Genomic DNA, 26,666 nt, shown 5'->3' on the forward strand with positions numbered 1-26,666 from the left:
AGAGGCAAAAGAAAGAAAGAAAAGGCATCCAAATAGGAAAGGAGGATATGAAATTGTCAGTGTTTGCTAAGTAAGAGTGGCAGGTCTTTTCTCCCTTAGTTCTTCCTTTATTGTGCCCCTTCCAGCAATCAACTGTTTAGTCCACACACTTCTTTGTACCTTGGTTACAAAATTACTGCATGTAAAACTACTTTACATGAGTTCAGAGTTCAGGGCACAACCTCATATGGTATTTTCCTTTTCCAGGTCACTCTTCAGTCCAAAGCCAAAAGCACTTTCATTAGTTCTCTCAGTCACTTGGAAGGTCAAACTCTGTCTGTCTGGGTCCCAGTGAGTCTCTCTGAAAGCCACTAGAATCTAAACTCAGAGTTTCACTGCTTTTCACTCTAAGAATTAGCAGTTCTCCCACTACTCAGCCTCCAGCTTTGGTTGCCCCAAACTTCTACTTCCCTGAAAAAAACACTTCTGGTGCCATTTCTTCTCATCCTAGCCCGCTCCCAAACTTCTCCTAAAGTTTCTTCACAGCCTATAGCAACATTCTCTCTGAGGACTCCCTTCAGGTTTCTGATGTCTTCATGGGAGGCAGAGCTGAGGGAGGTCCTCCCTGTTCCCTCCACCATGGGGCTTCATTCTATTGTCTTTAAGTCCTCCTCAACCAACCAGTTCCACAACCAGTGTGGGTCCTGAAGGCTGCTTCAGGCACAGAAATGCACAGTTATCCTTCAGCTCAAATGAAAATCAAGTCCCAGCCCCTGAAGTCAACAGAGGACAAGAGTTGCTCTTCCAGACTTACAGATAGATCTTGACCAAGAAAGAAAAACAGGATTTCTTTCTTCCCAAGCACCAAAACATGTGGTCTAAAATGACCAGGAGGTAAGAAGGTTCTCCCCAAGCAGAGCCTGAGAAAGGAGAGAAGTTGAGAGCTGTGAGGAAAGTAACCATAAGATTCTTCAGTTAGAAGACTCAGAAATTAGGTAGTTGAAGATCACTGAAGTGTTTTATTATGCTGGGCCCCATGCTTGGAGATTCACTGTGTGTTCCTTAATGGCTGAGGTACTGTGCTAGGCACTGAGAGAAGACAAGATGAGAAAGACAAGATTCCCTTCCCTTAAGGAACGTCTTATCCTGCAGCTAAGACCAAAATGGAAGTCAGTACAAAACAAGGAAGCATTTAAGGAGGAGCATAAGAGATGCCAAGCACTGTTTCTGACTGGGAGAGAAGCTATCTCCTTGTGAGGGAAAAAAAATGTTTACAAAGTAGGCAGAATTTGAACTATGGCTTTAGAGAAGGAATGAGAATTAATTAGAGAGAAAATCAGGGAGATTATCCCTGGCAGAAGAGAGTTCACAAGAGAAAGTGTAGAAAGAAGAAAGGTCAGCATGTATTCCCAGAACACTGCAGTTGTGGAGTGGGGGCGATGAGGGAGAGGTTTGCACAGGTTCCTGCCTCCTCTGATGTCCTGAGGCTGCTGGGCATCAGGTCAAAGAACACGGCCTGCTCAATAGTGAGCTCCCTGCTGCCAACTGAGTTGTTTGTCACATGTGGTTCACCTCACCACATTCCCTACCCCTGCCTGGCAATCTTCCTATTTTGCTTTATCAGTGGGTAAAAGGTATGTTTTCACAGGCAACTATTAAAACTATTTCAATAGAAACTTTTAAAAAAACTCATCTAAGAGATTTGACTCTTATAAACATTTGCTTTAATGTAGTTTTCTTATTCTCATATATTGGGAAATGGTAAACAAAATGTGGCTAGCATAAAAGCCTGAGATCTTGGCAGAGAGACACGAGCTTGAGTTTGGTCTGTGAAGCTATCCAAGAAGTGCATAACAGGTCCAAAGTACAAGCCTCTGCAGGGGCCCTTCCACCGAGATGAGCTCTTGGCTTGGAAGAAAGAGCACCAGAACAAGACCTAGGGGTCCCAGGATCCCATCCCAGACCCACCACAACTCTCTATGTAACTTTTTGCAAGTCACTTTGTGCCTCTGTGCCTCCATTTACTTCTCCCCAAAATGAAGTGTCTCAATGACATCAAAGGCAATGTATTTAGGTAGAAAGGCAAAGAGCTTTAATGTCAAACAAAAAGCATTCAAATAAATCTTTAGCTCTGACCCTTGTGAAGGCATGATTTGGGACAAGATACTTAGCGTGTGATATCCTTACTTTCCTCCCGTGTAAAAGAAACAAATATTACCTGCCTGAGGTTGCTACAAGAAATAAATGAGATATTGCATGTAAAAATGCCCAGCACAGTATCTAGAAAGTAGTTGGTGCCTGCTGCCATCTTCCCTGGCCTTTGAAAGAGTCCTTTGAGTTACAACATTCTATGTTTCCATCAAAGTAATGTTTCCACATTAGCACAGGGTCTGAGATCATAGCAGGGGTGGAAATCACGAGACACAAATCCAAGCAAACCTTTTCATCAGAGGGCCAACAGAGGATTCAGTTAACCAGTCAAATCTTCTGATTTAGGATGCACTTTCTTCTGTACCAGTGTTTCCTAAACATGCTTGTTAATAACAATCTAGGTCATCATCTGGAGATTCCAAAGCAGCACATCTGGAGAGAGACCTGGGAATCTGAATATTTAACTGGCACTAGGGAGAATGTTTCAAAGTGGCAAACCTGAGAAACAGCATTTGATCTGGTTCCTCTTGAACTCTCAGCCTCCTAATTCCCTGCTGTCTGGCCTACTGTGGCTGTTGGCTTCACTGCCTGCCACTGGCACCCATGTGCTTCCTAGAATTTGTCCAGTTTCTACATCAGTTCTGCCACTTGCTAGCCAGCTCAGTGCATTTGGGAATTGACATTGCGGCATCTGCATTATGAAAAGCTTGGCTACTCCTCCTTCCCTCTGTAGAGATTTTTTAACTGTTTGTGCCTTTGTTAAGCCTGAGCCCAGGAAGAGGTTTAGCATGTCAGTTTTCCCCTTTGTAGCAATTTGGGTTGAAGATAGATTTGGAAAGGAAATTGGAATTAAAGGCTAAAGAAAGCAGTCAGCTCTCAAATGTCCACATTTTCCATTAGTGCCATTACCAGGAACTTCCAGCATCTGTCAGGGTCCTTCAAGCTTCTTCAGCTCATGGTGCTGCTAAAGAGCTGATCTATCCAATTGCTGCACTTTGAGAAATGTTCATATATGTCTGTCATGCCCATGAAAATGCAGACCTCAGGCAATCGCTAGATTGTCACAAAGTAAGATGTACCCCAGATTTTGCCTGTCCAGTGTTCTTCCCAAGTGTCCTCCACAAAGACAGCATACAGCATTGCTGCAGCCTTTTGTATGGCTCACAGAACAGGCAGGTACCTAGGGAGCTGCCCACCCTTCTCCACTCATGAAGGAACCTATTTTCCTGAGCCCCCCACCACCCCCTTTCCACCTGACCTCACTCTCAAATTCTTTCTACCCGAGACTCTGATTCTAACCTTGTTCCCAATCAGCAGGACTTCAAGGAGTCCTGCCTAGCGCAGAAGGACCCATGATGCACCACTGAGCCAATGTGGTCAGCATCCTGTCCAGTTTTTCCCAGCTATGGTCGAGCTCCTCTGGGATCAGGTGTTGACCCTGTTCCTGTCTTCAGGGATTAGTCTTGGGTTTGGCATCATACCTGAGGATGAGGGTACAGTTTGTCAGACCCCTCACCTCAGCGATCTCCCAGGTTGCTCTATTCCTCTGCCTGTCTACCCATATATTCCACCTTCCTCTCACCAGGTCTTCCTGCCCCAGCCTCCTAGACATGGAGCTCCACCTTCCTGGGCTTCTTCTCACACCTGCAGCTGGCTCCAGTTCCAGGACTGGCTTCTAGTCTCCAGATCTCTGATCAGAGGCTGACAGATAGTTTTGAGTCCCAGATACATAAGGAGGTATAATAAAATCCCCAGGAGAGTATATCTCCACTTAGACTCATGGGGATGTGTGTGCCCCTCTATGAAGAATCTCAGAAACCCAAATTTCAGAAGGAATATTTTGATCCTACTTATGTTGCTTCTACAGGCCTGTGTGCTAAAAAGGAAAGGCTGCATTAGTTCATCAACTCAGGCTCACCAAGAAGCAGACATCAAGATGGGATTAGAGGCCGGACAAGGTGGCTCACACCTGTAATCCCAGCACTTTGGGAGGCTGAGGTGGGTGGATCACCTGAGGTCAGGAGTCTAAAACCAGCCTAGTCAACATGGTGAAACCCCGTCTCTACTAAAAACACAAAAATTAGCCAGGCATGGTGGCACACGCCTATAATCCCAGCTACTCAGGAAGCTGGAGCAGGAGAATCACTGGAACCCAGGAGGTGGAGGTTGCAGTGAGCAGAGATTGCATCACTGCACTCCAGCCTGGATGACAGAGTGAGACTCCAACTCAAAAAAAAAAAAATGAAAGACAGTTGTTAGAAGATGATGCACAAAAAGGTGAAGAGAGCCTCAGACAATGATGCAGTACTGACACCATGGAAGGAGAGAGGACAGAAAGGAAGCCTGGCTAGGAAGAGTTTCATACTACAGACCAGTTCCAAGAAAGGCTCAGCCAAGTCTGTGGGGAACCCTTGAACCAGAGGTGGGAGGAGAGCCCATCTCGCCAGAATGGTCCTGCCTTAGTAAAATAAAAATGAAACAAAAGGGAACTTGGCAGCCATCTTAGAAAAAGCTTTGGAGACTCATCAATTTCATAGCCAGTATTTAGAGAAGGGAACATCAAGGACTAGAGAAGGAGGTGGTTGTGTAAGAGAAGAAGAAAGCAGCCTGGACTCAGATCTGAGTCTCAGGAAGAAGGACCAGGAGCATCTAGGAAGGCAGCTGCTATCCACGAAGCAGACCAGGGCCTAAAAGGGCATTGAAGTTTCCCAGGATGCAGTGAGCACAACACCAAACTAGAGACCTGGTAAAAGTCACATAAGTGTCATTAGCCTTTGACCTGGCCTGTAGGCTGGATCCAGAGGGCCTAGACCCCTGACCCAAGCCTTATTGAGCCTCATCTATGGCAACCAAGAGCAAAGTACAAAGGCCAACACAAAGGCCACATAACTTAACTCTGAAGCAAAAGCCTTTTCTCGTTTTTCCCGATCTCCCTGAACCCACCCCACTCAAGAGCAGGAATTTCCTAATGAAGATTTTCAGATTGATAATCTTCAAGAAGTTCATTGAAGACTTGCGTCTCTGTCTGTTCTTGACTGAGTCAAGCTTTGAGAAGGAGGGTGACTTGGAAGCCCAAGCTTGAAAGTCTCATTCTGCCAGGAAGGGGCAGAAAGCACTGATGGACTCATTGGACTTCAGCAGCTGGGGGAGAAGCACATCCTTGTCCGTGTCCTCCTCAGACACCACCTGGGCCATGATCTGTGTGGCAGTCCAATCCTGAGTCTGCAGTCCCTGCTGAGCACTATTCTGGGTGCTGGGCTGTCCCCAGGCCATTGTGGACCCAGTGGGATAGAGAACTGCCTATGCTCTTAGGTGAGCTGCTACTGTGGCTTTTTGCCCAGGGGCACAGCTTCCTGCTGTCCACTGCTACCCCTAGCAGGCGGCTTGTCTTCACCCCTGAAACTAAGCTGCATTCTCCAGGGAGTCTGTGCTGCAGAGGAGAAATCAGCTGAGGGGCAGTTGTGCGGGGAGGAAGGAAACACAGTGGAGGCTGGGGCAGGGCTGGGGCACACTGGGGTATAGGGCCGAGGGAACAGGGTGGAGTGCACCGAGGTATGGGACTGGGGAGGAGTGAGTCCACTATGTACGGAGTTGGGGGCAAAGGTGGAGGGGTGATCTGTTCCTGACATTTTTAATGATGTATTTTGTAACATTTGATACATATGGAAGTATAGATGTGATTGTATGTGTGTTTATATAATGTGTATGCATATAAAACAAATACTCATGAGCTCACCATCCAAACTAAGAATTGCAACATAAGCCTCTAAAACATTTTCCCCTCTATTATAAAACAGTTTTTAAAATTGTTTCTGTTAAATATTGAGTAAACACAAAAGAATAATTATAAAGGAAAATAACATAAGTAACATCAAGTAACATCTGTGTGCCCTGTTTGCCTCTCCCTAATTCTGTTCATGACTATTTGCTACCACCTGGGAATGTGATTCTCAGAACATGTCCTAGGTGAAAGTGTTCTAGATTTAGAACATTTAGAACATACTTCATACTTTGTACTTCATAGCATAACACCTACTTAAAGTTGAAAGTATTTATTTAATTTGGCCTTCTTTTTCTCAATTGAAAGAAGTTATTACTTTGGGCAAAGAAGAGGTGGAAGACAAAGCGATATTTAAAACAACTATTTTGTGGAAGTCAGGGTCCATCTTCTATTTTTCCATGTGTCTCTAGAGCAGCATGGTGTCTAATGAGCAATGGACTCTCCGTGGGAATAAGCATGTTGAAGTTGTTATATATATAAAAGTTAATTGAATCTATAAATCAATTTGGGGAAAACAGACATGTTTGCAATGTGGTGTCTCTTTACCCATGAACATGATATATCTCTCAATTTACTAAGATCTCTTTTAAAATATTTGCACTAAATGTTATGAATTCAATGTTAGCATTGTTCATAATAGCAAATAAATTGAAAATAACCCAAATACCAATTGATAGGACAATTAATAAAGTTTGATATATTTACACAATGAAACTCTATACATTGGCAAAAATAAATGAACTAAAGCCACACACATCAACAGGGGTGATACTGAAAAACAATTTTCAGAAAAATACATTCCATATAAAAAGTTTTATAAGCACAGAAAAGGAACCCGCATGATACATGGTTTAGAAATACAAAACTGTGTAGCAAAACCTTAAGGAAAGCCAACTGGGCCTTGAATGGTGGACTAGGTTATTCAGACCAACCCTTCCACTGAAGACAGATAAAAAGAAGTGGTGAAATGTTTTTGAATTTTCTTTAAGCATCAGAGAACCAACAAGATGTTAGAAAACTTACCGGACCAAGATCTAGGAAGAAGACAGGAATCCAGGAAGGTGAGCCCCACAGTTGGCACTGCTTTTGTCCTGTGGACATTTATTGATCTGGAAGTGATAACCGAAAGACAGAGTTATGCTTTGGAGAAGGCTTAAAGGACAAAGTGCAAAGATCACAATCCAAGGCAATAGAGAGTCAGGATCTTAGAAAACAACCTCCCATTTTGCACCCTGAACTTTTGCATCTTAGAAAAGAGAATAAAATCAAAAGAAACAAGTCCTTCCATGGACTGTATACCACCTTCAAGCTATCTGGGTAACACAGAAAATATCAAGCCCTGAACTAGGATTAAGATGAATTCATATTGCTAGCTCTCCCACATACTGTCATAATCTAACTAAATATTTTTAAAAATACTCCTTAGAGAAAGACAAGCTCTTCCTGGGTCTCAAATTATTTCTAAAAATCATAGTGTGATTACAGGATAATTCACACGATTAAAGATAATCAGACACACAAAAAGAAAAGATGCCATGAGATGGAACCAGCAAAACTAATAGGCAATATAGGGGAGGAGGCAGACAACTATGGCCAAATAGAACCCTCTAGAGATCCCCCTGCAGGAAAAACAAGTTAAACAACTATCCACATACAAAAAACCACCTTTATGAGAATCAAAAATCAGGTGAGCAATTACAGTGCCTAGTTTTAAATTTATATCAAGGAAACAGGCACTGAAGAGGGTAAGAAAGAGAGTTTTCAATCACCTACACCACACGACCCCCATCACTGGCCACATGGCACAGAGAGAGAATCTGTGTGCTTGGGGGAGGGAGAGCAAAGTGATTGTGGGACTTTGCATTGGAACCCAGTGCTGCCCTGTCACAGCAGAAAGCAACATGGGACAGAATTCAGCCAGTGCACATAGAGTGAACGTTTAGACCAGCCCTAGCCAGAGGCAAGGTTTTTATTTTTTATTTTTTATTTTTTATTATACTTTAAGTTCTAGGGTACATGTGCACAACGTGCAGGTTTGTTACATATGTATACATGTGCCATGTTGGTGTGCTGCACCCATTAACTCGTCATTTACATTAGGTATATCTCCTAATGCTATCCCTCCCCCCACCCCACAACAGGCCCCCCGGTGTGTGATGTTCCCCTTCCTGTGTCCAAGTGTTCTCATTGTTCAATTCCTACCTATGAGTGGGAACATGTGGTGTTTGGATTTTTGTCCTCAGAGGCAAGTTGTTAATTGTAGCAGTCAAAGCCTGAGTTCTGGCAAGCCCCACCAACATGGGCTAAAGTGCTCTGGGGTCCTGAAATAAACTTAAAAGGTAATCTGGGCCACAAAAACTGCAATTCCTGGGAAAGTCCTGGTGTTGTGCTGGGTTTGGAGCCAGTGGGCTTAGGGTGCATGTGACTTAGTGAGACACCAGCTAGGGTAGCCAAGGGAGTGCTTGTATCACCCTTCCCCCAACTCTAGGCAGCACAGTTCACAGATCCAGGAGAGACACTTTTCTTCTGTTTGAGGAAAGGAGAGGAGACAGTAAAAAAGACTGTCTTCTAACTTGGATACCAGCTTGGTCATAGTAGAATAGGGCACCAGACAGAGTCCTGAGGCTCCTATTTCAGGCCCTAGCTCTGGGATGGCATTTCTGGACACATCCTAGGCTAGAATGGAACTCACTACCTTGAAGGGAATGTCCTAGTTCTGGCAAGATTAATCACCTGCTGACTAAAGAGCCCTTGGGCCCTGAATAATCAGTAGTGGTAGCCAGGCAGGACTCATCATTGGCCTCAGGTAAGACTCAGAGCCATGCTGGCTTCAGGTGTGACCCAGCATATTCCCAGCTGTGGTGGCTACAGGAAAAGACTTCTTTTGCTTGGGGAAAAAAGAGGGAAGAGTAAAGGGGACTTTATCTTGGAGCTTGGATACCAGCTTAGCCACACTGGGATAGAGTGACAAGTAGACTCCTGCTTTCCCTGATTCCAGGTCTTGGCTCCTGGCTGGCATTTCTGGACCTTCCCTGGGCCAGAGTGAAGCCCACTGCCCTAAAGGGAGAGACTCATGCCTGGCAGCATTCACCATAAGCTGACCATAAGAGCTCTTAGGCCTTGATAGAACATTGGCAGTAGCAAGCCAGTACTCACCACAGGCCTGGGGTGGTGGTAGCCACAGGGAGAGACTCCTCTCTTTAAGTAATGGAGAGGGAAGACTAAAAAGGACTTTGTCTCATGGCTTGGGTGCCAGCTCAGCCATAGTAGAATAGAAAACCGGGTAGATTTGTAAGGTTCCTGACACCAGACCCTGGCTCCCAGGTGGCAGATCTGGACCCTCCCAGGACCAAGGAGAACTCATTGCCCTAAGCAGAAGGACATAAGCCTGGCAGTATTTACCACCTGATGCTTGCAGAGCTTTTGGGCCTTGAGTGAACCAGGCAGTGGTCACCATAGGCGTGGGGTGAGACCCAGTTCTCTGCTAGCTTTGGGTCTGATCCAGTGCACTACCAGAGGTGCTGGCCACAGGGGGTGCTTGTGTCAGCAAACCCCCAGCTTCAGGCAACTCAGCACAGAGAGACAGACTCTTTTTGTTTGGGGGTGAGTAAGGGAAAAGAACAAGAGTCACTGACTGATAATCCAGAGAATTCTCATGGATCTTACCCAAGACCACTAAGGTGGTACCTATACAAGTCTGCAACAGCCACAGTGTTACTGGGATTGGGGTCCTCCCTAAGGCAGATATGGCTGCAATGACCAAAGACTTACATCGCAACACTCAAGTCTCTCTGAATACTTAGAAAGCCTTCCCAAGAAGGATGGGCACAAACAAGCCCAGACTGCCAGGACTACAATAAATACCTAATTCTTCAATTCCCAGACATCCACGAACATCCCCAAGCATCAAGACTATCCACAGAAAATATTACCCACCACAGGAACTAAAAACAGTAACACAGGCCAATCCCAGAGGGGCAGAAATATGTGACTTTTCAGACAGATAATTCAAAATAGCTGTTTTGAGGAAGCTCAGTGAAATCCAAGATAACACAGAGAAGGAATTAAGAATTCTGTCAGATAAATTTAATGGAAAGATTGAAATGACTACAAAGAATCAAGCAAAAATTCTGGAGCTGAAAACTGCAATGGGCATACTGAAGAATGCACAAGAGTCTCTTAACAACAGAACTAATCAAGTAGAAGAAAGAATTCATAAGCTTGAAACAGGCTATATGAAAATACATATTCAGAGGAGACAAAAGAAAAAGAATTTTTAAAAAATTATCTACAAGATCTAGAAAACAGCTTCAAAGGAGAAAATCTAAAGTTATTGGCCTTAAAGAGGAGTTAGACAGAGAGATTGGGGTAGAAAGTTTATTCAAAAGAATAATATCAGAGAACTTCCCAAACCTACAGAAAGATATCAACACTCAAGTACAAGAAGGTTATACAACACCAATCAGATTTAGCCCCAAAAAAGACTGACTCAAGACATTTAATAGTCAAACTCCCAAAGGTCAAGGATAAAGGAAGGATCCTAAAAGCAGCAAGAGAACAGAAAAAAAATAACAGAAAAAGGAGCTCCAATATGTCTGGCAGCAGGCTTTTAAGTGGAAACCTTACAGGCCAGATGAGAGTCGCATGATATATGTAAAAAAACACTTTTACCCTAGAATAGTACATCTAGCAAAAATATCCTTCAGACATGAAGGGGAAATAAAGACTTTCCCAGACAAACAAAAATTGAAAGATTTTTGTCAGCACTAGTCCTTCCTACAAGAAAAGATAAAGGGAATTCTTCAATCTGAAAAAAAAGGATGTTAATGAGCAATAAGAAATCATCTGATGGTACAAAGCTACTGGTAACAGTAAGTAAATAGATATAGACTATTATAACATAGTAATTGTGATGTGTAAACTACTTATATCTTGAGTAGGAAGATTAAAAATGAACCTATCAAAAATAATAACTACAAATTGTCAAGATATAGATAGTAAAATAAGATGTAAATAAACAAAAAGTTGAAAAGCAGGGGAGATGATGTTAAAGTATAAAGGTTTTGTTACTTTTCGCTTTGCTTGTTTGTTTTTGTAATCAGAGTTAAGTTGTCATCAGTTTAAAATAATAGGTTATAAGATGTTATTTGCAAACCTCATGATAACTTTAAATCAAAAAACCTACAACAGATACACAAAACACATATAAAGCAAGAAATTAAAGATACCACCAAAGAAAATCACTTTCACAAAAAGGAAGAGGAAGGAAGGAAGGAAGGAAGGAAGGAAGGAAGGAAGGAAGGAAACAGAAAACAAATAACAAAAATGAATGTAGTAAGTTTATACTTATCAATAATAACATTGAATGTAAATGGACTAATCTCTCTACTCAAAAGCATAGAGTGGCTAAACAGATTTTAAAAACAAGACCAAATGACCTGTTGCCTACAAGAAACATGCTTCACCTACAAAGACACACATGGGCTGAAAATAAGGGATGGAAAAAGATATTCCATGCACATGAAAACCAAAAAAAAAAAAAAAGCAGTAGTAGCTGTATCAGATAAAATAAATTTCAAGACAAAACTAGAATAAGAGACAAAGAGGGCATTATGTAATGATAAAGGGGTCAATTCAATAAGAGGATACAAAAGTTGTAAACATATATGCATCCAGCACTGGAGTGCTCAGATATATAAAAGCAAATATTATTAGAGCTAAAAAGAGAGATCAACCCCAATACAATACATGGAGACTTCAATACCCAACTTTCAGTATTAGACTGATCATCCAGACAGAAAATCAACCAAGGAATATTGGACCTAATCTGCACTATAAATAAGAGACAAAGAGGGCATGATGTAATGATAAAGGGGTCAATTCAATAAGAGGATACAAAAGTTGTAAACATATAGGCATCCAGCACTGGAGTGCTCAGATATATAAAAGCAAATATTATTAGAGCTAAAAACAGAGATCAACCCCAATACAACACATGGAGACTTCAATACCCCACTTTCAATATTAGACTGATCATCCAGACAGAAAATCAGCCTAGGAATATTGGACCTAATCTGCACTATAAACCAAATAAACCTAATAGATATTTACAGAATATTTTAACCAATGGCTGCAGAATGCACATTCTTCTCCTTAGCACATGGATCAATCTCAAGGATAGACTATATGTTAGGCCACAAAACAAATCTTAAAACGTTCAGAAAATTGAAATTATATCAAGTATTTTCTCTGACTACAATGGAATGAAACCAGATATCAATAACAAGAGATACTTTGAGAACTATACAAATACCTGGAGATTAAACAATATGCTCCTGAATGACCAGTGAGTCAGTGAAGAAATTATGAAGAAAATTTAAAAATTTCTTAAAACAAACAAAAATAGAAACACAACATACTAAAATCTATGGGATACAGCAAAAGCAGTACCAAGAACAAAGTTCATAGCAATAACCACTTACATCAATAAAAGCAGAAAAACTTTTAATAAACAACCGAATGATGCATCTTTAAAAACTAGAAAAACAAAAGCAAACTAAATCTAAAATTAGTAGGAGAAAAGAAATAATAAAGATCAGAGCGGAAATAAACATAATTGAAACAAAAAAATACAAAAGATTAACGAAATGAAATGTTGGTTTTTTTGAAAACATAAACAAAATTGACAAACCTTTAGTGAGACTAAGCAAAAAAGAGAGAAGACCCAAATAAATAAAATTGGAGATGAAAAAGGAGACATTGCAACTGATACCACAAAAATTCAAAGTATCATTAGTGGCTACTATGAGCAACTATATGCCAATAAATTGGAAAATATAGAAGAAATTTATAAATTCCTAGACCCATACAACCTACCAAGTTTGAACCATGAAAAAATTCAAAACCTGAATAGACCAATAACAAGTAACAAGATCAAAACCATAATAAAAAGTCTCCCAGTAAAGAAAAGCCTGGGACCTGATGGCATCACTACTGAAATCTACCAAATATTTAAAGAACTACTACCAAACTTAATCAAACTATTCCAAAAAACAGAGAAAGGAATATTTCCAAACTAATTCTATGATGCCAGTATTACCCTGATACTAAACCAGACAAAGACACATTAGAAAAAAAAAAACAAAAAACTACAGGCCAATATCTCTGCTAAATATTTATGCAAAAATTCTCAACAGAAGACTAGCAAACCAAATTCAGTAACACATTAAACCCAGCACTTTGGGAGGCCAAGATGGGTGAATCACGAGGTCAGGAGATCGAGACCATCTTGGCTAACACAGTGAAACCCCGTCTCTACTAAAAATACAAAAAAATTAGCCAGGCGTGGTGTGGCAGGTGCCTGTAGTCCCAGCTATTCAGGAGGCTGAGGCAGGAGAAGGGCGTGAACTCGGGAGGCGGAGCTTGCAGTGAGCCGAGATTGCACCACTGCACTCCAGCCTGGGCGACAGAGCGAGACTCTGTCTCAAAAAAAATAATAATAATAGAAATAAAAATAACACATTAAAAGGACCATTAGTCACGACCTAGAAGGATTCATCCCAGGGATACAATGACGGTTCAACACATATGCAAATCAATCAATGTGATATATCAACAGAATAAAGGACAGAAACTTTATGATCATTTCAATTGATGCTGAAAAAAGTATTGGATAAAATTCAACATTCCTTTAAGATAAAAACCCTGAAAAAACTGAGTACAGCAGAAACATACCTCAACACAATAAAAGCCATAGACAATTGACCCACAGCTAGTATCATGCTGAATAGGGAAAAACTGAAAATCTTTCCACTAAGATATGAAACAAGACAAGGATGCCCACTTTCACCAGCATTATTCAACATAGTATGGGAAGTCATAGCTAGAGAAATCAGACAAGAGAAAGAATCAAAAGGCATCCAAGTTGAAAGGGAAGTCAAATTATTCTTGTTTGCAGGTGACATAATCTTATATTTGGAAAAACCTGAAGACTCCACCAAGAAAACCATAGAACTGATAAGTTCAGTAAAGTTTCAAGACACAAAATCAGCATCCAAAAATCAGTAGCATTTCTGGCCGGGCACAGTGCCTCATGCCAGTAACCTTGGCACTTTGAGAGGCCAAGGTGGGCAGATAGCTTGAGTCCAGACATTAGAGACCAGCCTGAGCAACATGATGAAACCCTGTCTCTACAAAAAATACAAAAATTAGCCATTAGCCAGGCATGGTGGCACACGCCTGTAGTCCCAGCTACCCGGGAGGCTGAGGTGGGAGGATCGCTTGACCCCAAGGGGGTGAAGGTTGCAGTGAGCTGAGATCACACCACTGTACTTCAGCCTGGGTGACACAGCAGGACCGTGTCTCAATAAAACAAAACAAAACACAACAAAAAGTATTTCTATAGGCCAACAGTGAACAATCTGAAAAAAAACACGGGAAGTGGTCAAGATGGCCAACTAGAAGAAGCTAGGGTGAGTGGCTCTCACAGAGAAGAATGAAAGGGGTGCATAAATTCAGCACCTTCAACTGAAACATCCAGGTACTCACACTGAGACTAATCAAGGAAACAACTCGACCCACAGAGAACAGAAAAAAGCAAGGCAGTATGATGGCAAACCCAGGAGCCTGGGGAACCTCCCCGACCCAGGACGCAGTGAGTGAATGTGCGACCCCAGGAAACCATGCTTTTCCCACAAAGCTTTACAACTCTTGGGTCAGGAGAACCCCTCACAAACCGACTCCACCAGGGCCTACAGTCTGACACAGAGAGATATTTGGAGTCTTGGCAGAGCAGTCACTCAGGCAAGCACGGAGACCCAGGAGCTTTAGATACTTCAGCTCTGGGCTTCCCAGCAAAAGTAACTGAAACTCTGGCAAAGCAGGAGATTACACCCCCCTACATATCCCAGGGAAAGAGACTGAATCCAGGGCACCAAGGGGCAACAGTCTGCAGGCCCCACTCCCATGGCACCTTACAGGATAAGATCCACTGGCTTGAAATTCCAGCCAGCCACTGGCAGCAGTGTTGCACCTACCTGGGATAGAGTTCCCAGTGGGAGGGGCAGGTGGCCATCTTTGCTGTTTAGGCAACTTGGCCCTTCCACCCTTTGGACCCTTCTATCCTGTGGGCTTTGGAGAATCCAAACTAACTGGGAGTAAAAGGGGTCCCCCAGCACAGCACAGCTGCTCTACCAAAATGTGAGCAGACTGCTCCTTTAGGCAAGTCCCCAGTCCATTCCTCCTCACTGGGCAGGACCTCCCAACCCTCACTGGAGGCCCTCCCAGGGTTTACCTGGTCCCAACCAGGGTCTACAGCCACTTCATACAGGTGCCTTTAGACCAGCAATAGGTCTATACCTTCCTGGGACAGAGCTCCCAGAGAAAGAGGCAGGCTACCATCTTTGCTGTTTCACAGCCTTCACTGGTGATACCTCCAGGTACTGGAAAATCCAAGGTGACTAGAAACTGGAGCATACCCCCAGAAACTGGAGCAGACCCCAGACAGCAGCCCTACAGAAAAGTGGCAGATTGTTAAAAGAAAAAAAAAAATCCAAAGGTCAGCAACCTCAAGGAGTTACAGTAGATAAGCCCACAAAGATGAGGAAAAAAAAGTCAGTTCAAGAACACTAAAAACTAAAAAAACAGAGTACCCTCTTTCCTCCAAATAACCTGCACCACCTCTCCAGCAATGGTTCAGAACTAGGCTGAGGCTGAGATGACTGAAATGACAGGAGTAGAATTTAGAATATGGATAGGAATGAGCTTCACTAAGCTAAAGGAGGACATTGCAACCCAATGCAAGAAAGCTAAAAATTATGATAAAACATTGCAGGAGCTGACAGACCAAATAGCCGGTATAGAGAAGAACATAACTGACCCAATAGAGATGAAAAACACACTACATGAATTCCATAATGCAATAATAAGTATTAATAGCAGAATAGACCAGGCAGAGGGAAGAATTTCGGAACTTGAAGACTGGATTTCTGAAATAAGAAGGCAGACAAAATTAGAGAAAAAAGAATGAAAAGGAACAAACAAAACCATCAAGAAATATGAAATTATATAAAGAGACTGAATCTAAAACGGATTGGTGTACCTGAAAGAGATGGAGAGAATGGAACCGATTTGGAAAACATATTTTATGATATCATCCATTAAAACTTCCCCAACCTACAAGAGAGGCCAATATTCAAATTCAGGAAATCCAGAGAACACCAGTAATATACTTCATGATAAGATCATCCCCAAGACACATAATCAACAGATTCTCCAAGGTTGAAATGAAAGAAAAAAATGTTAAAAACAGTTAGAAAGAAAAGAAAACCCATCAGAAAACAGTGAACCTCTCAGCTGAAACCCTACAGCCAGAAGAAACTGAGTGCCAATATTCAACATTCCTAAAGAAAATAAATACAAACCAAGAATTTCATATCCAGTCAAACTAAGCTTCATAAGTGAAGAAGAAATAAGATTCTTTTCAGAGAAGCAAGCGCTGAGAGAATTTGTTACCACCAGACCTGCCTTACAAGAGCTCCTGAAGGAAGCACTATGGGAAGGAAAGACTGTTACCAGCCACTACAAAAACACATTGAAGTACACAGACCAGTGACACTATAAAGCAACCACATAAACAAGCCAGCATAATAACCAGCTAGCATCATGATGACAGGATCAAATCCACACATATCAATACTAACCTTAAATGTAAATGAGCTAAATGCCCAATTAAATAATACAGAGTGGCAAGCTGGATAAAGAACCAAAATCCATTGGTATGCTATCTTCAAGAGACCTGTCTCACATGCAATGACACATATAGGCTCAAAATAAAGGGATAAAGAAAAATCTACCAAGCAAACAGAAAACAGAAAAAGGCAGGGGTTGCAATCCTAGTTTCTGACAAGAGAGACTTTAAACCAACAAAGATCAAAAAAGACAAAGAAGGGCATTAAATAAAGGTAAAGTGTTCAATTTAACAAGAAGATCTAATTATCCTAAATATATATACACTCAATGCAGGATCACCCAGATTCATAAAGCAAGTTCTTAGAGACTTTCAAAGAGATCTAGACTTCCACATAATAATGGTGGGGGACTTTAACACCACACTGACAATATTAGATCACTGAGACAGAAAATTAACAAAGATATTCAGGACCTGAACTCAGCACTGAATCAAATAGATAGATATCTACAGAACTCTCCACCTCAAAACGACAGGACATACATTCTTCTCATCATCACATGGCACTTACTCTAAATTGATCACATAATCTGAAGTAAAACTCTCCTCAGCAAATGCAAAAGAACTGAAATTATAACAGTCTCTTGGACAGTGAAATAAAAATAGAAATCAAGACTAAGAAATTCACTCAAAACCATACCATTATATGGAAATTGAATAACCTGCTTTTGAATGACTCTTCAGTAAATAATGAAACTAAGGCAGAAATCCAGAAGTTCTTTGAAACTAATGAACAAAAATACAACATACCAGAATCTCTGGGACACAGCTTAGGCAGTGTTAAGAAGGAAATTTATAACACTAAATGCCCACATCAGAAAGTGAGAAAGATCTCAAGTTAACAACCTAACTTCACAACTAAAAGAACTAGAGAACCAAGAGCAAACAAACTCCAAAGCTAGAAGAAGACAAGAAATAACCAAGACCAGAACTGAACTGAAGGAGATAGAGACACAAAAATATATTCAAAAAATCAATGAATTCAGAAGGTAGTTTTTTGAAAAAAATAATAAAATAGAGCACTAGCTAGACTAATAAAAAAGAAAATAAAGAAGATTCAAATGAACATAATCAGAAACAATAAGGGGGATATTACCAGTGAACCGACAGAAATGCAAACAACCATCAGAAAATATTATAAATACTTCCATGCATACAAACTAGAAAATTTAGAAGAAATGGATAAATTCCTGGATATATATACCCTCCCAGGACTGAATCAGAAAGAAATTGAATCCCTGAACAGACTAATAATGAGCTCTGAAATTAAGGTGGTAATAAACAGTTTACCAACGAAAAAAAAAGCCCCAGGACCAGACCAATTCACAGCTGAATTCTACCAGATGTCCAGAGAAGAACTGGTACCATTCCTACTGAAACTATTTCAAAAGATTGAAGACAAGGGACTCCTCCTTAACTCATTCTATGAGGCCAGCATCATCCTGATACCAAAACCTGGCAGAGATACAACAACAACAACAAAAAACTTCAGGCCAGTATCCTTGATGGACATTGATGCAAAAACCATCAACAAAATATTGGCACACTGAATCAAGCAACACATCCAAAAACAAATCCACAGCAATCAAGTAGGCTTCATCCTTAGGTTGCAAGGTTGGTTCGACATGCAAATCAATAAATATGATTCATCACATAAACTGAGCTAAAGACGAAAACCATATAATTATCACAATAGAGGCAGAGGAGACTTTTGATAAAATTCAACATTGATTCATGTTAAAAACTCTCAATAAAGTAGGTATTGAAGGAACATACCTCAAAATAATAAGAATAATCTATGACAAACCCACAGCCAACACTATACTGAATGGGCAATAGCTGGAAGCATTCCCCTTGAAAGGCAGCACAAGACAAGGATGCCCTCTCTCACCACTCCCATTCAACATAGTATTGGAAATCCTGGCCAGAGAAATAAGGCAAGAGAAAGAAATAACTGGCATTCAAATAGGAAGAGAGGAAGTCAAATTATCTTTGTTTGCAGATGACATAATCTTATATCTAGGAAACCCCATCGTCTCAGCCCAAAAGCTTCTTAAGCTGATAAACAACTTATGCAAAGTTTCAGGATACAAAATCAATGTGCAGAAATCACAAGCATTCCTATACACCAACACTCAAGCCAAGAGCCAAATCACAAATAAACTCTCATTCACAATTGTCACAAAAAGAATAAAATACCTAGGAATATAGCTAACTAGGGAGATGAAAGATCTCTACAAAGAGAACTACAAACCACTGTTCAAAGAAATCAGCAATGACACAAACAAATGGAAAAACATTCCATGCTCATGGATAGGAAGAATCAATATCATGAAAATGGCCATACTGCCCAAAGCAATTTATAGATTCAATGCTATTCCCATCAAGTTACCATTGGCTTTCTTCACAGAATTAGAAAAACTACTTTAAATTTCATATGGAACCAAAAAAGAGCTCGTATAGCCAAGAAAATCCTAAGCAAAAAGAACAAAGCTGGAGGCATCACATTACCTGACTTAAAATTATACTACAAGGCTACAGTGACCAAAACAACATGGTACTGGTACCAAAACAGATACATAGACCAATAGAACAGAACAGAGTCCTCAGAAATAAGACCACACATCTACAACCATCTGCTCTTCGACAAGCCTGACAAAAACAAGCAATGGAAAAAAGATTCTCTATTTAATAAATGGTGCTGGGAAAATTCGCCAGCCATATGCAGAAAACAAAAACTGGACCCCTTCCTTACACCTTATACAAAAATTAACTCAAGATGGATTAAAGACTTAAATGTAAAACCTAAAATAATAAACACCCTAGAAGAAAACCTAGGCAATACCATTCAGGACATAGGCATAGGCAAAGACTTTATGGCTAAAATACAAAAAGCAACTGCAAAAAAAGCCAAAATTGACAAATGGGATCTAATTAAACCAAAAAGCTTCTCCACAACAAAAGAAACTATCATCAGAGTAAACAGGCAACCTACAGAATGGGAGAAAAGTTTTGCAATCTATCCATCTGACAAAGGGCTAATATCCAGAATCTACAAGGAACTTAAACAAATTTACAAGAAAAAACAACCCCATCAAAAAGTGGGCAAAGGATATGAAAAGACACTTCTCAAAAGAAGACATTTATGTGGCCAACAAACATATGAAAAAAAGTTTATCATAACTGGTCATTAGAGAAATGCAAATCAAAACCACAGTGACATACCATCTCACACCAGTTACAATGGCAATTATTAAAAAGTCAGGAAACAACAGATGCTGGAGAGGATGTGGAGAAATAGGAGCGCTTTTACACTGTTGGTGGGAATGTAAATTCGTTCGACCATTGTGGAAAACTGTGTGGCGATTCCTCAAGGATCTAGAACTAGAAATACCATTTGACCCAGCAATCCCATTATTGGGTATATACCCAAAGGATTATAAATCATTCTACTATAAAGACACATGCACAAGTATGTTTATTGCGGCACTATTTACAATAGCAAAGACTTGGAACCAACCCAAATGCCCATCGGTGATAGACTGGAGAAAGAAAATGTGGCATATGTACACCATGGAATACTATGCAGCCATAAAAAAAGAGTTCATGTCCTTTGCAGGGACATGACTGAAGCTGGAAGCCATCATTCTCAGCAAACTAACACAGGAACAGAAAACCAAATACCACATGTTCTCACTCATAAGTGGGATTTGAACAATGAGAACACAGGGAGGGGAACATCACACACTGGGGCCTGTCGGGGGTTGGGGAACAAGGGGAGGGAGAGCATTAGGGCAAATACCTAATCCATGTGGGGCTTAAAACCTAGATGGTGGGTTAAAAGGTGCAGCAAACCACCATGGCATATGTATATCTATGTAACAAACCTGCACGTTCTGCATATGTATCCCAGAACTTAAATTAAAAAAAAAAAAAACCTCTGAATGCTTGGGGAGACTGATCTGACTTATAATAAAATTCGTTTCCCATTAAAAAAACAAAAAATTTAAAAAAATCATTACAAAGTATTTAAAATTTTAAAAGGAAAGTGGATAAAGATTCAGCTCATTTTGTGTCATTTCATTTGCAATTAGATCCTATATTTTCTTTTTCTGTAGATGCTTGAGTTTGGCAAGTTATGAGTGGATTAACATATTTTATGATACCATGGGACTGCCACAGTTATGTCCTCTGTTAGTTTCAGAGTCAGAGCCTATTGTGTACAGCCAAAGGCTTAGGCCGATTCCAAATAGAATAAAAAGCAGCCACTTTCAGAGCACATTTAAGACATCTAACATTTGAGAAAGTTCATTGGCATTGTCAACTACCCTCTCATTAAATTCTATCCTAGGCAAAGCAGGACAACCAGGAAATAATACCAAAAAATCACATTTCCTTCATGCCTCTGAGAATTTCATTTACTTAGTTATGATTAACCCTTGGCCTGTCCTTTCACTGAAGATGAACACAGACATCACCTATTGAAGCAAGTGAAAATCGATGTCCTAAATACTACTCATTCTACTACTCCTGGTAGTATATCCTAATACAAACACAACTCAAATGAGACCTTTACATGACGTATATCCTGATCCTGAGTAAAAGAAATGTTCTAATTTATCATGATCACTTGTTGATATTAGAGCATGTCTTCAAATAATACAGTTACAATGTTTAAGTTTCTTAGAGGTCAGATGTCTTACCTATTTTATATCCCCAAGGGTGGGCAATTTACAAATATCAACTGATTTCTTGACTTCTTGACTCTTGTGCCTATCTCAAAGAGGCTAAAAGTAAAGGGTAAAGAAGGTATTGGAAAAGATGTTGGAGGAAGGAAAAAGTGAGAGAAGTTAGGTAAAATTAAAGAAGCAATGTTAACGGCTCACTCCACAGAACTCAGGGCTGCTAAGTGCCTAACAACATAAAAGAAAAAATCGACTTTAGGGCACTACAAAAAAAAAAAAGGAAAGAAAGAAAAGAAAAAGAATGTTAATGATAAAGAGTATTAATGATAAACAAACTTTAAGTTTCCAGAGTTAGAAGAAAAAGAAAGTAGGAGATTGTTGGCTGGGGAGGTGGCTCACACCTGTAATCCCAGCACCTTAGGAGGGCCGAGGTGGGCGGATCACGAGGTCAGGAGATCCAGACCATCCTAGCTAACATGGTTTCACCTCGTCTCTACTAAAATACAAAAAAAAAAAAAGTTAGGCGGGTGTGGTGGTGGGCACCTATAGTCCCAGCTACTCAGGAGGCTGAGGCAGGAGAATGGTGTGAACCCGGGAGGCAGAGCTTGCAGTGAGCCGAGGTCGCGCCACTGCACTCCAGCCTGGGTGACAGAGCGAGACTCCATCTCAAAAAAAAAAAAGAAAGAAAGTAGGAGATTGTTTAAATGAATAATGATAAATTCATATGATGAAATACTATACAGACATTAAAAATGAATAGGAAAATATTTAGTGAAATGGAAAAATATTCACAATATATTAACTGAGAAAAAAACCTAAGCTACTTATGAACGAATGATATACTGTACTGCCTTTGATTTGCTTCAAAAATAATTCATGATGGGGGAAGTGAATTAGGGTTTAGATAAAAGAATATGGACCATGAGTCAACAATTATAGAAGTGAAGTGATTGAGTAATGGAAGATCGTTATACTATCAGTCTGCTTTTATATATGTGCAAAATTCTCCACAATAATGAAATCATGTCATTTGCAGCAATATGGATGCAGCTGGAGACCATTATCCTAAGTGAATTAATGTAGGAACAGGAAACCAAATGCCATGTGTTTTCGACTTTTAAGTGGAAGCTAAATACTGGGTACTCATGGACATAAAGATGGCAACAATTTACGGTGAGAAATACTATGGGGGTAGGGGGAGCAATGGTTGAAAAACTAACAACTGTGTACTGTGCTCACTACCTGGGTGACAGGATCAGTTGCACCCCAAACCTCAGTATCATGCAATATACTCATGTAAAAAAACAGCACATGTACCCCCCGGAATCTAAAATAAAAGTTGAAATTATTTTTTTAATTCTCCACAATAATGTTTTTTAACACTATGTACTATAGGAATAAATTTAAATATGGAAATACAAAATACAAAAAAGATAAATGATATATCTCAAAAAGTTAAGGGTGGTTATATCTGATCACTTTTATTATCATTCATTTATTCCTATTTTAAAAGGATTTGTACTAAATGCAAATTAGTTTTGTAATAAAAACTAAAAATCTAACATAAAAGTCACCTATTTCTGTCTTCAGCCTCTGCTACTTGTCCACATTTCCTTTAAAATTCAGTATCATTCCATTTTCACCACTTTGTTTTCTAATAGCATTCCATTTTTCATAAGCAGAAAGTATGTATGAAGCATAAAGATTATTTTTGTTTGAAGGTTGAAAAAAATTATTCAGAAACTCAATTTGGGGGCCTGCTTTTTTATGTTTTAGTTCAGTGCTTCTCAATCCTGCCTATATATTAGAATCACTTGGGGGCTTTTTAAACAGACATCATTGCCCAGCCTCTATTCCCAAATATTCTGATTTAATTGGCCTGAGACAGGGCTCGGGCACTGGGCAATATTTTTTTTCAGCTCCCAGTTGATTCTAATGTCCAAGCATGGCTCAGAGCTGCTGTCTTTGCATCTACTTTACACAATGATTCTCAAGTGTGGTCACACATTAGAGTCACTATGGAAGCTGTAAAAAATAAATAAATAAATACTTAGGCCTAGAGCCCACTCTCAAGATTCTGATTTAATTGGTCTCAGCTGTGGCCTGGGCTTTGGAATTTTTACCCCACCCATACTTTTCTACTGACTACAAATATCTTGCATTTATTCACTGATGTTTGAGATTTATTTCTCTGCTAATCATTTGCTTCTGTTAAAAACACCCGACTAAGAAAACACCCATGAAAGATCTGCAATCCTTGACAGTTCAATGAGAACAAATATGTGTTTAGTCTGTCTTTCTGATCAACATTTTGAAAAGTTTTTCATGTGGGAAAAGAGAAAAGAGTGGTAAGACAAAGGGTATATGAGGGCATGACACCAAATATATATAATTAGAAAGATGGAGAAGGCACAAGAAAGAGACACTAGGGCAAAAGACTAATTTTCCCTGTTTTAAAGGTGGAAGATGATACAAAAAGACTTATGGTATGATTCCACTTATATGAGGTACTTATAGTAGTCAAAACCATAGAGACAAAAAGTAGAATGGTGATTGCCAGGGGTTAAGGGGAGAATGGAATGGGGAGTTAGTGTTTAATGGAAATGCTTTCAGTTTTGCAAGATGAAAGAGTTCTGGTGATAGATGGTGGTGATGACTGCATAACAATATGGATGTATTTACCACCATACGTATACAAGCTTTAAAATGGTGTAGTCAATTATATGTTCTCAGAACCACAATTAAAACATCTCTGTGGCCCCTAATATGATGAAATTGGTCACCACATTAATCAATATTTTCAACTTTGCAAAGCACACCAAGAGACATTTTTCTGGTAATCTATTAAAGCTTAACACTGATTTTCAATGAACACCATTAAAATCCAGAGCTCATCAGGGTTTCAATGATTTTCTAGTACAACATGTAGTAAGCATTTAATGTTTCATTTGCTAATGCCACTTTTCTTTCCATAGACTCAAATTTTTCATTAGCTCACATTTTTTAAAGGATCTTCATTCAATTTTTTGTTACCACTTTCTCTCACCTCCACTGTTTTCCTAGTTTTCTGAACTTAAATCTATAAAACATAATGTAAGTTTTGTATTTAAAACTCTAAAATGCATTCAATAAAATGGAAAATTTCTTCAAGCAATAAGGAAAACAATTACAGGTGACTGAGAAAATTTCCTTATATCACACATAGTTTTCGGTGATCTATTCTAAAATTTAATCTTAAACTAGCTTAGTTTTTAATTGACTTTCTCCTCAACACTCTTGTCAATGTTTCCCAAACTTATCTAATGACACAGATCACTTGGGGTGCTTTTTTAAAATGTGAACTCCCAAAACCCTCCCTGGGGATTCTGATTTAGTAAGTCAAGGGTGGAACCCAGGAATCTGTAACTGCCTATGTATGGCAGGTGATTCTACATTAAGCTAAGTTTCCTGCACATAAAACGGAGGAAAACAGCAGATACAGCTTTTTCCAATTCTCCCACTCCTGGGATTTGCCATCATTTCCTATGTAACCATAACCATACTAGGATTTCTCTCTCACCCCCTCTCTTTTTCCCCCAGACTTTGGTACTTGTTCTCAGTCTTGCTATTCAAAACGTAGTCCTTGAGGAGGCAGAGCAAGATAGTCAAATAGAATCCTCCAGCAATTGCCCATCCCCTCCCGAGGAACAACAGACTGAGCAACTATCCTTGCAAGAAAGCACCTTCATACGAACCCAAAGTTCAGTTGAGTGATACTATGATCTGGTTTTAACATAATAACAAAGATAGTGTATCTGGTTTTAACATAGTAACAAAGAAAGAGGCATTGAAGAGGGTAGGAAGGACAGTCTTGCAGTGCCTACCCCACCCCTCCCACAACCCCAGGCAACACAGCACAAAGGGATAACCTGAGCACCTGGGGAAGGGAGAGCAAATTATGTGTGGGATTCTTCACTGGAATTCAGTACCACCCTATCACAGTGGAATACAATACCAGGCAGAGTTCTGCCAGTGCCCACAGAGGGAGCATTTAGACAAGCCCTGGGCCAGAGGGGAATTTCCCACCCCAGCAGAAGGAACTCTAATCCTGGCCAGCTTCAGCACCAGCTGACTAAAGTGGCCTGGGGACCCAAATAAATTTGAATGGCAGTCAGGCCACAGCGATTAAGATCATAGTCCTTGGGCAAGCCCTGGTGCTGCACTGGTCACAGAGGCAGTGGACTTGGGGTGCAACCCCATGCAACACCATCTGCAGTGACCACAGGAGTGCCTGCATCACTTCTCCCTAACTCCAGGCAGTGCAGTGCAGTGCAGTGCAGTGCAGTGCAGTGCAGTGCAGGGAGAAATTCCTTCCGCTTGGGAGAAGGAGAGGAAATAGTACAGAGGACTTTGTTTTGCAACCTGAGGATCAGCTCAGCCTAGTAAAATAAAGCAACAGGCAGATTCCTAAAGCTCCCAGTTCCAAGCCTTTGTTCCTGGGTGGTGTTTCTAGACCAATCTGCTGACCTGGTGGGATGGACCCTGTCCCAGCAGGATTCACCAACTATGCCCTTTTACCTAAAGTGCCCTTCTTTGGTCTTGAATAAACAGCAGCAGCAGGCAGGCAGGAAGTAGTGGCTGTGGGTCTTGGGCAAGTCCCAGTACTGTGTTCATCTGGAAGGTCATAAGTTTCAGGTGTGACCCAATCAGTGCCAGCTGTGGTGGCCATGGGAGTGCCCACGTCACCCCTCCCCAACTCCAGTTCAGTGCAGAGACTGACTGTATTAGTCCATTTTCACACTGCTAATAAAGACATACCCAAGGACGGGGCTATTTACAAAAGAAAGAGGTTTAATGGACTCACAGTTCCACTTGGCTGGGGAGACCTCACAACCGTGGCAGAAGGCTAAAGGCACTTCTCACGTGGCGGCAGACAAGAGAAGAGAATGAGAGCCAAGGAAAAGGGGTTTCCCCTTATAAAACCATCAGATCACATGAGATTTATTCACTACCATGAGATCAGTATGGGGGAAACTGCCACCATGATTCAATTATCTCTCACTGGGTCCCTCCCACAACATGAGAGAATTATGGGAGCTACAATTCAAGATGAGATTTCGGTGGGAACACAGGGCCAAACCATATCACCAACTCCTTCTCCTTGAAGGAAAGTGAAAGAGAAGAGCAACAGACTTCACCTGGAACCTGGAGAAGTCTCCCTTATCTTCCCCAAATCCACCAAGTACACCAAGGCTGTGTATCTAGGAGTCTGCAAAAATCACAGTGTTCCTCAGTTTAGGGTGCCCTCTAGTGCTAAAACAGCTTCAATGACCACAGGCTTTGG

At 40.6% G+C, this 26,666-nt stretch overlaps 1 long non-coding RNA gene across 5 annotated transcripts in view; it reads right to left on the reverse strand.

The window, feature by feature from the left end:
• The window catches only part of LOC107985862 (uncharacterized), a 63,638-nt gene extending 37,599 nt beyond the window's left edge, over window positions 1–26,039 (reverse strand). For all 5 annotated transcript variants that reach the window (XR_001739388.1, XR_001739387.1, XR_001739389.1 and 2 more), the window contains exons 1-2: window positions 25,901–26,039; window positions 6,935–7,020 (exon numbers count right to left, since the gene is read on the reverse strand). This is a non-coding gene — a long non-coding RNA (uncharacterized LOC107985862). The remainder of the gene's footprint in view (window positions 1–6,934; window positions 7,021–25,900) is intronic.
• Window positions 26,040–26,666: the final 627 nt, after the last annotated feature.

This window comes from Homo sapiens, chromosome 2, assembly GCF_000001405.40.
Source record: "Homo sapiens chromosome 2, GRCh38.p14 Primary Assembly".
Taxonomy (NCBI): domain Eukaryota; kingdom Metazoa; phylum Chordata; class Mammalia; order Primates; family Hominidae; genus Homo; species Homo sapiens.